Source organism: Homo sapiens, chromosome 7 (assembly GCF_000001405.40).
Source record: "Homo sapiens chromosome 7, GRCh38.p14 Primary Assembly".
Taxonomy (NCBI): domain Eukaryota; kingdom Metazoa; phylum Chordata; class Mammalia; order Primates; family Hominidae; genus Homo; species Homo sapiens.
Genome location: NC_000007.14, coordinates 117,377,446 through 117,390,528, shown reverse-complemented (window position 1 = coordinate 117,390,528; position 13,083 = coordinate 117,377,446). Strand labels below are relative to the sequence as shown.

At 33.0% G+C, this 13,083-nt stretch overlaps 1 protein-coding gene across 3 annotated transcripts in view; it reads left to right on the top strand.

The window, feature by feature from the left end:
- The window catches only part of ASZ1 (ankyrin repeat, SAM and basic leucine zipper domain containing 1), a 64,272-nt gene that overhangs the window by 36,965 nt on the left and 14,224 nt on the right, over nt 1–13,083 (top strand). For 2 of the 3 annotated variants that reach the window (NM_001301821.2, NM_130768.3), the window contains exons 5-10: nt 4,720–4,831; nt 5,669–5,803; nt 7,419–7,543; nt 8,385–8,460; nt 9,462–9,518; nt 10,482–10,591. In NM_001301821.2, coding sequence (NP_001288750.1) covers nt 4,720–4,831; nt 5,669–5,803; nt 7,419–7,543; nt 8,385–8,460; nt 9,462–9,518; nt 10,482–10,591 — 615 coding nt within the window. The remainder of the gene's footprint in view (nt 1–4,719; nt 4,832–5,668; nt 5,804–7,418; nt 7,544–8,384; nt 8,461–9,461; nt 9,519–10,481; nt 10,592–13,083) is intronic. The other variant, NM_001301822.2, reaches the window with a different exon arrangement.

Sequence of the window (13,083 nt, the reverse complement as noted above, 5' to 3'; positions counted from 1 at the left end):
ACCATTCTACCAAAAAGACACTGCACTCATTATGTTTATCACAGCACCATTCACAATAGCAGCTGGGCATGGTGGCTCATGCCCATAATCCCAGCCCTTTGGGAGGCCTAGCTGGGAGGCTCGCTAGAGGCCAAGAGTTTGAGACCAGCCTGGACAACATACAGAGACTCCATCTCTACAAAAATAAAAAATTTAGTCAGGTGTGGTGACACATGCCTGTGGTCTCAGCTACCTGGGAGGCTAAGGTGGAAGAATTGCTTGGGCTTGGGAGGTTGAGGCTGCGGTGAGCCATGATTGTACCACTGCACTACAGCCTGTGTGACAGTACAACCCTGTCTCAAAAAAAAAACCCCCACTGTTACAAAGATATAGAACCAACCTATGTGCCCATCAACTCAAGAGTGGATAAAGAAAATATGCCACATATAGGTCATGGAATACTATACAGCCATAAAAAAGAAACCATGTCCTTTGCAGCAGCACGCATGCAGCTGGAGGCCATTATCCTAAATGAATTAATGTAGAAATAGAAAAAAGAAAAAAGGAAACCAAATGCCACATGTTCTCACTTATCCGTCAGAGCTACCCATTGGGTACACATGCATATAAAGATGAAAACAATAGGTAACTTGCTCAAGTCCAGCTGCTGGCTGCCCATAAACCAAGAATAGGAGAAACGAGATGTGGTGAAAGGAAAGTAATTTTATTTATCAAATGCTAGCAATTGGAGAATGGCCAGGCTCATGCCTTCAAAAGACCATTCCAACTTTTTGGGCTAAATGAAGGGGTTTAAGAAGGAAAAGGTGTGGGAAATATGCAGGAGTGTTGCCCGAGGGTGCAGGTCTGCATGACTTGTTTCAATGGTTATCTTGAGAAATTGCCTGTCCAGAAGGTCTGGTTTGCCTCATCCTGACTTTGGCCTGGTAGTGGTAGGTTAACTGTTCATAACTACCCCTAAGTGGGAGCTGTATCTCTCTGCCTGGTTTGTTTCAAAATTGGCCCCTGGATTACCTAAGCAAGCACATAATTAGATAAGCAAGCACTGTTCATTGAAGTGCCTGGTGGGAAAAGTAGAAACAAAGCATTTCAAAATATGTTTCAAAGCTGAAAACAAGAAAGGAAAAAAAGTTTTAAAATGCATTTTGAGGCTGGGATGCTCAGTTAAAAATAGACACTAGAGAATCCAAAGGGGAGGAGGCAAGGAGGGGTCAAGGGTTGAAAAACTACCTATTAGGTACTATATTCACTACTTGGGTGGTGGGATTAATAGAAGACCAAACCTCATCCTCAGCAACACACAATATACCCATTAACCAACCTTAACGTGTACCTCCTGAATCTTAAAAAAAAAAAAGACTTCTGGATCCAAATTGTTACTTAGACAACTGTAAGTCAGATATATTCAAATACATCACCATCACCCTGTATTTATATATGCATATATGCAAATACTAGGTGCATTTCTAATAAACAGCAATAGATTTCCTGGCTTTTATATTTTTACTTAAGTTGTATTGTTTTATTTTCATTTCATGTTGTTCATTGCTAGCATGAAGAAATACAATTGATTTTTTAAATATTTCTCTTGAATGCTGTAACCTTGCCAAATTCATTAGTTCTAGTACTTTTTTTGTGGAGTCCATCAGGTTTTCTATATACATCATGCTGTCTGTGAATAAAGACAATTTTGCTTTTTTTCCCATCTGGAGGCCTACCATTTTTCTTTTTCCTTGTCTTGTTCCGCTGGCTAGAACTTCCAATACAATGTTGGGTAGAAATGTGAGAGCATACATCCTTGTCTTGTTTCTGATGTTGGGGGAAAGTACTCTTTCACCATTAAATATGATGTTAACTGTAAATTTTCCATAGATGCTTTTGTCAGGTTGAGGAAGTTCTCATCTATTCCTATGTTGCTGAGTGTTTTTGTTAGAAATAAATGTTGGATTTTGTAAAATACTTGTTCTGCATTTGTTGAGGGTTTTTTTTCATTTTTAGTTTGTTAATATGGTACATTATATTGATTGATGTTTCAAATATCAAACCAGCCTTGCATTCCTAGGATAATTGCCTGTAGTCATGATGTATTAACCTTTTTATGTATTTTTGGATTCTGTTAAAATTTGTTTAAAACATTTTTATTTTCAGTGAAGATTATTGGTTTATAGTTTTCTTTCCTTATAATGGCACCCTCTGGTTTTGGTATAAGAGTAATTTTGCTTCATAGAATGAGTTGGGAAGCATCTTCCCCTCTTTAGTTTACTGGTTGAGTTTGTTTAGAATTGATGTTGTTTTCATTAACTGTTTTGTAGAATTCACCAGTGGAGCCATCTGGCCTGCTGTTTTCTTTGTGGAAAATTTAATTTAATTTATAATTACTAATTAAGTTTTTAAAAAATAAGTCTAGGGCTATTCAGGTTATTTCTTTTTGAGTGAGCTGTGGTAGCTTGTGTATTTTGAGAAATTTATCCATTTCATCTAAACTGTCTAATTTATTGGCATAAATTTGTTCATAATACTTCCTCATACTTCTAAAATCTGGATAATCTGTACTGATGTTACTTCTCTTGTTCTTGATACTGGTAACTTGTTTCTTCTCTCTGTTTTGCTTAATCAGTCTAGCTAGAGGTTTGAAAATTTTACTGATCTTCTCTTAATAAGGATCTGTATAAGAATAAGGAGTTAGCAATATGAAGGTCTGGGGACAGGCAAGAGCACTTGCACAGTTCCTGCAAAGGGGAGATCTTGGCATTTTCAAAGACAATAAACTGTAAGTGGCCAAGAATGGAAGCATGGAGGAGAGCAGTTATGAGACTATGGCAATATAAATCAGAGAAAGATGATGTTGTCTTGGACCACTGCAGTGGCTAATGAGGTGATGAAAAGTGATCAGAAGCAGATTATGAAGGCAGGGCTAATAGGAGCTGCCGGTGACTTGTACTTGGAATGACAGAGAAGAGTCATGAATTATGCCTAGTCTTAAGCCTGAGTAATGTGGTTAATGGTGGCTTTATGAAATAGGGAAGACTGAGAGGAGCAGATTTGGGTTATTATGCAGGTAAGTGCAGTGGAGATGAGACATCAACAGTTCGGATTTAGATGTAATGAAGAATTTGAATTCGAATGGTTAATTCAAATAATTTGTTGTTGCCACGTATGTGTGTATGTGGGGGTTTTGGGTGGCGTTGTTGTTGTTGTTGTTGTTGTTGTTGTTGTTGTTGTTGAGACAGGGTCTCACTCTGGTTGCCTAGGCTGGAGTGCAGTGGCACAATCTCGGCTCACTGAAGCCTTGATCTCCCAGGCTCAGGTGATTCTCCCACCTCTGAAGTAGCTGGGATTACAGTTGTGCAGACCACATCCAGCTAATTTTTTTTTTTTTTTTTTTTTAAGTAGAGGTAGAGGCAGGGCTTTCCTCTGTTGCCCAGGCTGGTCTCGAACTCCTGGATTCAAGCAATCCACCTGCCTTAGCCCCCCAAGTGGTAAGATTACAGGCCTGAGCCACCACACCTGGCTAGTTGTATATATTTTTTTATGTTTGCTTAAGTTATCCAGGAAATTCAATCTTTACCTCATAAAGATTGTCTATCTAATGAAGCCACTATGTAAGGGATATTCAAGGTAGAGGAGGCAATCTTTTACAACTGATTTAGCATATAATTTCACATAAAACATTCAAATTATAATATACCATGAAATATAAGAAACAGATATATATGAATTGTGCTAACAAGGACATAGGTGTGAAGTGTTCAGATTTCAGGGTATAACCTTATGCTAACAAACCTTACAGAGAAATAGTCTATTGGTAGGTTGTATATGTAATGTGAATAACCAATAAAAACTTTCTTGGTAAGATCAAAACATGGAACTCTGAAATTATTTATTTTTCTTTTCCAAAGTTCTTTGTGTATAAATCAGATCTTGAGGACGACTCAGGAAAATTGGGCTCAGAGTCTCAGACCTCCTTTAAAACAGACCATGATGTTATGTTCAGCCCAAGTAGAGCTGATAAAATCTGGTGTCCTTGGAATAGGCCCAGAAGGTGACTAACTTCCAGGAGTAGAAGGATTGAATCTCTAATTTTGGGAAATGATAAACTACAGAGAAACCACTATCCTCTCCCAGAAAGTACTCTTAAGAGAATATTAAGCTGGTTAATCTATTGGACTTATCTCTTTTCTAATTATATATAGTAAGTCTCCCAGTCAGAATAAAATTCTTTCAGTCTCAGACTAAAGTAGAATCATAATAGAATACATTAAGGAATGAAGTTTTTAAATTTACATTTTTGTTTCAGCAATCCTCTAAATAAAATGTAATAAGCATTTAGTATTAGCAAATCCTTTGAGGGCAGGGACCTTATTTGTGTCATTCATTACTATATTCCTAGCATAAGCATAGTGTGGGTACACTGATAATTTTCTAGATGAATATGTATATTAGTGAACTTCATAGTAGAAAGCGTGGCTTATTTCATGTATTTTTAATACATTTATTCACTAGAGGGTGCTGTGTAAGCATTCAGCACTTTAAAAGTGTCATCTCTTTCACTTGTACTTACTTGCAGGAAGGTTGGATTTTTAAATCACCTGATTTAGCAAAAGCTTTCATTTCTTTTCGTTTTCAAAGCAGTACTGGTGGTATTGTGTATGGTTAAATTAATGAAAATGAGAGATTAATGGCAGCATTAACACAAATGTTTCCTTTCTTCCTCCTCCTTAGGAGACTTATGACCCCAATCATGTATGCTGCTCGAGATGGTCACACCCAGGTTGTTGCTCTCCTTGTTGCTCATGGAGCAGAAGTTAATACCCAGGATGAGAATGGTTACACTGTGAGAAACATTTTTACAATGTTTCTTTTTGTTTCTGTTATTATCAGTAATCTACAAAAAAAGAATTTTAAGAAGTAATAATTACAAAAGGGCTGGAATATAATTGCTATCTGGTGAAAAAAAGCAACAGTTGAAATAGAAGGGTATGGTGACTCACACCTGTAATCCCTGCACTTTGGGAGGCCGAGGCAGGCGGATCATTTGAGGTTAGGAATTTGAGACCAGCCTGGCCAACATGGTGAAACCCTGTCTCTACTAAAAATACAAAAAATTAGCCAGGCATGGTGGCACGTGCCTTTAATCCCAGCTACTCAGGAGGCTGAGGCAGGAGAATCGCTTGAACCCAAGAGGCAGAGGTTGTAGTGAGCCAAGATCGCACCACTGCACTTCAGCCTGGGCAACAAGAGCGAAACTCCATCTCAAAAAAAAAGAAAAGAAAAGAAATAGAAATGAGGAATTAACTGACTCTCGTAGTCCTTACTCTTGATTAAAAAAAAAAATTGTAACACACAGCAAAATCTGGGCTCTAAAATATACATAAGAATTATTTTTTGTAGAAAACCCTTCAGTGATTGGCAAATAAATCATTTTATTCCTTAACATCAGTTAATTGTATAAAACACTGGTTTTAAAAAATCAATGAGCTTTGCAGTCAGCTTTGCAATTACAACTTTGGAAATATGTTTACATTATATTGTAAAATGAAGAGATTGCATCATTCCATTAATTAACTATGTTCTCTTTTTTATTGTGTCATAAATACTGTTGAAAACTTTTCCTGTCTGTCTCATATACACTCCTTCTCTTTAAACAATCTTCTTTTCCCCCTACTTACAGGCTTTAACGTGGGCAGCACGTCAGGGTCATAAAAATATAGTTTTGAAGTTGCTTGAACTTGGAGCTAATAAAATGCTACAAACCAAAGATGGAAAGATGCCAAGTGAGATTGCAAAAAGAAACAAACATCATGAGGTATCCTTCTGTACATATTAAACTTATTTTCTGTGGCATATCACATTATCATTTGTAGAACTTTTGTATTATTCTGTTAGAATTAAAAGTGTAATTATAGTGTATCTGGCAATTATTAAATGTTTAAATATGTATCTTTCCTCCAGCCAGGTAATGAGAACTTTATTTTGCTAGAGTATTCATCTTCTATGAAACAAGAAGCACTTATAGTAATTTAAAAGCTCTATAAAAGAGTAATAAAATCTTATTCTGGCCCCAGGAATAAAATTGTAATATACTATTTAAACATTTTAAACTGGTCCAGAATTTTAAAAGTAATTTAGTGAAAGCTAGTAAAATGCCAGTTTGAACATGTAACTCAAACATTCTTTTGTAAGTTTAATTAATGTATTAAACAATTTAAAAATTAAATTCCTTAAACAACATTTGCTCTTATATGTGTGACAGGGCTTACGATAAAGTGATAATATACCTGGATGTATAATCTGTCATTCAGATGTTAAACTCAATAATAAATACTTGCCATACATTAAATTACTTTATCAATATAAACTTTTGGTCTGAAGATTAAAGCTTTAGCCACAAGTCTGTAACTTCTAAGCAAGGATCAAGTATAGTACAATTATAAAACTAAGTTGTTTAGTTCAAGAGTTTGTAACACTGAGTTCCCGAATTTGAAAGCACGTAAAATTCCAAAGATTCCGTCATGTAATCATCAAACCAAGCCACTTTTACTGCATATAAAGTAACTTCCTCTAACCTTTTAAGCAATCTGATAAACATGGCTATCATTTTCCAAATATTATTCTAATATTTTCAGAATTTTTATAGGATAAACAGTAATCACTACAGCCCTGTAGAATTTCAAAAAGGAATTTACCATTTTTCTTCCAAACTTTGAAAATTCAAAAACTTAAAATTATTTTATTACATTGTTAAATGTAGAGTAGATGACACCAAACTTGACATAAGAAGTTTATGAACATCAAAGGTTATTTTGAGTCATAAATCATTTATTGAAATGAGATTTGATCTTGTATTTTGGCTGAGTATGTGATATAACCTTGACTTCCTGAGAGGTTAGATTTTAAAACTCAGGAATTTCACCATATCTTTTTGAGGTGTTCAGTTAGGATTTGTATACATTTAGTCATGCTCATTACTCTCTTGCCACTTAGCAATGTTTTTAAAGTACTATCTTAATATTTAATCTGAGTCATTTATCCAAATGGAATTTTTAGTTTCGCTATGTATCTTACCAAAAATATTAATTACTATCTTCCTTTAATTTTTACTATTTTGAATTAGATGTACTTTTTTCTTTTCTGATTATTGTAGGTTAAGGAAGCACTTAGATATCCCAATTACCCTGATTTGTTTATTATACATTGTATATGTGTATCAAAATATCGCATGTACCCCCCAAAATATATACAACTGTGATATATCATTTTTTTAAAAGTTGTTATCAGGGTAGTAAATTGTGAAACATCTGTCCCACTTACTTGCTAAAATTTCCTTTCTGGATATGAGATAATCGTATGTTCAGTTTCTTTTAAGTGTAAGTTACAGTATGCAATGTTAATTATATTTGAATGATGTTAACTTTTTTCAGATCTTCAACTTACTTTCTTTTACTTTAAATCCATTGGAAGGAAAACTTCAACAGCTAACTAAAGAAGACACTATTTGTAAAATATTGACAACAGATTCTGATAGAGAAAAAGATCACATTTTTAGGTAATATAGCATGTTTTAGTTCAACAGAATACCTATAAGTAAAATTTGTGTATATTTTATTGTAGTAAATGTGGTGACTTATTTAAAATATATGATATTTTAAATGTTTACAAGCATTTTTAAATGTCTGGGTTTTTAGTGTTCTCCAGAATTTTAGAAAATTTTTATTCATTTTTATGTACTAACACTAATGATAATAACTTTAAATGTAAACTTTAAGTAAGATATCAACAATAAAATCTATTTTTAAAAGGTTCTGAAATTATATTAGTGTTCAAACAGTATAACACCTTGTTTTCTAATTATTTTTAGTACAGTTCTAATTTTATAAGCTAAAATTAAACATATACTTTTCCCCCCAGAACACCACTGTTGAGTACATGGCCAAAAATAATTCTCTCCTTACCCCATTTAAAGTTACTTAAATTTTACTTATTGCAATTAAAGAGGTGTGGTTTTTTTTCATTTTTTGTTTTTTGTGGGTTTTTTTGCCTCAAACACCTGTGCTCAAGCAGTTCTCCCGCCACAGCCTCCCAAGTAGCTGGGACTGCAGGTGTATGCTACTGTACCAGGCTGAGGAGATTTTTATGTGCAGAAATTTCACAAGGAGTACATACTGGCATATATTTTCATTTGGGGAAAGATGAGTTATACTCCTCATATATCTTCAGTCACAAAACCTTACTTATTCCTTTGATATAGCATAGGTCTGGTGTGCAGATTGCAAATATATTCTACATGAATTCATTATTATTCATATTCTCTTGCAATATAAATGTATATTTATCGCTTGTGCATTTATAATCTGTTCTGAAATTGACATTGCTATAAATGTATACAGTTCATATACAGCATTTGGAGATCTGGAAGTATTTTTACATGGTCTTGGACTTGAACATATGACAGATTTACTAAAGGTAAGATCTTATATAACCTACAGTGAGTTATGCATATATGTTAATTTGTTGGTTAATATAATGTTAGATATTAATTCATAAACATGTCTATGAATAACTGCCAATTTACTTTTCACCATAATTTGTAGTACATCCCAATTTTAAATTTGTGAAAAACATTGCAAAAATGTATTATTCTAGAAATTTACATAAATTAGAATCTGAGATTAAACAGTTTTTACCCACTGCCTAACCTTCATATACACCTGAGCCCTTAGTTTGTTTCTGTAGTTGCTCATCTTCTTGAGTAGAATATTGGAAGAGCGTGATTTTAAACCAAACACCTGGTATCAGATTCTTGCTCTAATGTTTAATCACTGAAATATGTGACTTAAATATCTCATTTTCTTCATAAGGATAATAATACCTAGTGTTGGGTTGTCATGAAGGTTAAATCAGATCATATGCCAAGCACTGTGTGGGTGTTTTAAGCATACATTATGGGGTTTGAGTCCATGACAGTTGTTACCAGCTAGGTGGAGATACTGAAGCAGTAAAGCACTATTTAAGATAGACTCTTCTTGGGAGTGTGCACATTCTGTTAAAATATTTCAGAGTTGTGCTTCATTGTATAATCTTGAAATGTCTCCCTATTTGGAGAAATCTTGAGTAAAACTACATGTTGGTTTAATGTGATACAGTCAGAAATTTAAAATATTCATAAAACATAATTTCTGCCAAATTTTATAGAACTGCTTTTCTTTTAATGTAAGCAAATATGAATGGTAATCATTTGAATCTGGAAAACTAGCTATATTTATACTTTTTAGGTGAATATAATTATTATGATACTCATTACTGTCTACTCAGTAGCATAGTTCTGCATGTATATATCCTGTCCCCTCTAGAAAATTGGAATTTGCTTCAGAGTGAAGCAAGTAACTAACTTATGAACATTTGCCTACTTCTCCTTCTACTATTTTAATTATATGGAAAGGTGGCCTTTTTTTCCTTTTATACAGGAAAGGGATATAACGTTAAGACATCTTTTGACCATGAGGGAAGATGAATTTACAAAGGTTAGTATCAATTTCAAAAATTCCCGATACATTGTTTGATGTTTTTAAAATTGTGGATCCTTTTCTTCTCTCTTTTTAAAATGCCAGGGCTATAGACAAAAGATTGATCTTCTACTGTGTCCTTGATTAGATATGATTATGGATAACCGTATCTAAAATCTTGTGTTAGTATTAAGTTACTTTAAGAACATGTAATGACTTATAGTTTGGGTTTTGTTTTTGTTTTTTTCAGATTGTCATGACAGCTAGAACTGATCCTTCAGTTTCAAATGTGCAATAGATTTGTAAAATGGGGCACTTACAAATAAGAGATAGTTTTTTTATGTATATGGGTATTAACACGTCTCCCAAGCCTTTTGTTTGGTTCTCAAAACTGAGACCTTTTATTTTGCCATCTAGTATTATCTAATAACATATAGCTGCGGGATGTATTAGAGACACTTTGATAAATAGCATATGTAAAAAGCAATGATCTGACTGCATGACCACATTGGAAACTTGACATTTTTAATATCACTAAAAATCAGTAAGCATACTACAAAACTAAATCCAGTATAGAAAATTTAGTTTAACACTAAAGGTAGAATACAAACAAAGATAGGGCCTAATTCTCATTTATCACTGATAATATTTTAAATAAAAATTTGAAGGAAATTTTGTTTTACTGTGTTTTTTTGAAATATTACATATTAAGTTCTAGTAATTTGTTTTGGGAGTCCATCATAGTTGTTATGTATTGCAAAAAAATTGACTATAGTTATTATATATCTCAATATTCTAATGCTGTAACTAACATCAATCACAGTTATAAGAAAAACATATTTTTTAGAAGTGTGTTATTTTTCCAATATATGCCTATTTTTTCAAGATGTGAATTCATCAAGAAAACATCTTTAGCAATTTTGAGTTTTAAATTACTCAAGTATAACTAACTTACTGTACCTTAAAATTATTTCTGCTTAGAATGGAATTACCAGTAAAGACCAGCAGAAAATTCTGGCTGCTCTTAAAGAACTACAGGTAGAAGAGATACAATTTGGAGAGCTATCTGAAGAGACAAAGTTGGAAATCAGGTAAAATTAACTTATTTGTTTATATTATTAATAGTGTTAAGAACCAATTGTTCTTTTTAGTTTAATTTTCATAATGTCTGAGTCATTTTACTTGATACCATCATTTTCCCAGGGTAATAGATTTTGGAAGATACTGTGTTCTGAAATTAGATGTACTTTGTAAAGTCAATTTTTATAAAGTCATTTACCAAGAAGCAAACAATATGTCTTCTTGTTAACTCACATAGAAATATTTTTGTTTTATTTTTTCATTGCATCTTGCTAAATTGAACCTTACAAACAATCCCATGCTTTTTATAGTATACCTTTAAAAATCATTTTAGAGGTTAAATTGAAAATTCAAAGTAGTAATATTTTCACTTAGGGCAATAAGAAAACATGTCTCATGTAGCTCAGTTCTATTTTCAGCCTTACTGTATGAGAAATTATGTTACCAATATGTAAACTTCATTTCCAATATTATGAACTTGTCAAGCAATGGTTATTAATAATCCCAAATCTATTTTGAAAATAATATTTGATTTTATTAATACATTATAGAGCAATAAATGATTTTTAAAAATTTTTTGAAATATAGATTATTGGGATATTTCAAAGATACACAGGGAAGTCCCATGCATTCTGTACCTAGTTTTGCCCAGTATTGGTATCTTTTATAACTGTAAGACAATATCAAAACCAGAAAATTTACATTGGTATGACCCATACGGCTTACTCATATTTTGTGAGTTATGCACTCATTTGTGTGTGTGTGTGTGTGTGTGTGTGTATATATATATATATATATATATATATATATATATAATTTTATCACATTTATAGCTTCATGTAACTACTTCCGTGTTCAATGTACTTAACACAGGGCTGTCTCATAATACCCCTTTATAGCCACATCTAACCTTCTCCCCATCCCAACCCCTAGCAACCAATAATTTGTTCTCCATCTTTTTAATGATGTTATTTCATGAATATTATATAAATAGAATCATACAGTATATATCCTTTTGAGATTAACTTTTTTCAATCATCCTAATTTTCTTGAGGTTCATCAAAGTTGTTGCATGTATCAGTACAATAGTTAATTCCTTTTTATTGCTGAGTAGTATTCCATGGTATGTATATACCACAGTTTGTTTAACCATTTATCCATTGAAGAACATTTGAGTAGATTTTAGTTTTTAGCTATTCCAAATAAAACTGCCATGAACATTCATCTACAAGATTCTGTTAGAAAATACATTTTCTTTCTCTGGGATAAATGCCAAAGAGGACAATTGTTAGGTTGTACGGTGGTTGCATATTTAGTATATTTTAAAACTGCCCAACTGTTTTCCAGAATGGCAGTACTGTTTTATGTTTCTAGCAAGCTTATGAGTGATCCAGTTTGCTCTCCATCCTCACAATCATTTGGTGTTAGCATGATTTTTTTTAGCCATTTCTGATGGGTATACAGTAATAGCTTGTTGTGTTTTTATTTGCACTTACTAATAGCTAATGATGTCAAACAGCCTTTTATATCTTATTTGCCATATGTGTACTTTTTGTGGTGAAATTCTAACAGTATCTTTTGCCCATTTTATGTTGGATTAATTGTTTTTTAATGTTGAGTTTTGGGAGTTATCTACATTGAAATCTTTTGTTGGATATGTGATTTGTAAATATTTTTCCCAACTCTGTAATTTTTCTTTTCATCCTCTTAATGGGGTCTTTCACAGAGCAGAAACTTTTATTTTGATGAGGTCTAAGTTACCAAATTTTCCCTTTACAGAACAGTACTTTTGGCATATTTTTAGTATCAGGTTAAAGAACAGTTTAAGAAATTAGGTCTCAAAGATTTTCTCCTGTGCTTTTTTCCCAGAAGTTTTATAGTTTTACATTTAAGTCCATGATACATTTTGAGTTCATTTTTGTAAAGTTATGAGGTTTAGGCTGAGGTTCATTTTTTTTTTCACCTGGGGATAGATAATTGCCCCAGCACTATTTATTGAAAAGGCTGTTCCTCCCCCATTGAATTGCTTTTGATTATATGTCAAAAATTAATTGCACATATTTGTGTGGGTATAATCTGGGTTCTCTATTCTGGGTTCTTTATGTGTCTATCCCTCTGAAAGTACCACGTCTTGATTACTCTAACTATATGGTAAACCTTAATATCAGGAAGAGTGATTCCTCCCATTTTGTTCTTTTTCAAAATCATCTTGGCTCTTCTAGAGCCTTTTTCTTTCCATATACATTTTAGATAAAGCTTTTCTATGTCTACAAAAAACCTTTCTGAGATTGTGGTAGTAATTCCATGAATCCTATTGATTAATTTAGGTATAATTGACATTTAGCTATGTTAATTCTACTAATTCATAAACACAGATATCTCTAAAAGTTTTAGGTTTTCTTTTTTTAAAATATATTTTTTGAGACCAGGTCTCGCCCTGTCACCCAGGTTGGAGAACAATGGCACAATGAGGGCTCACTGCAACCTCGAATTCCTGGGCTCA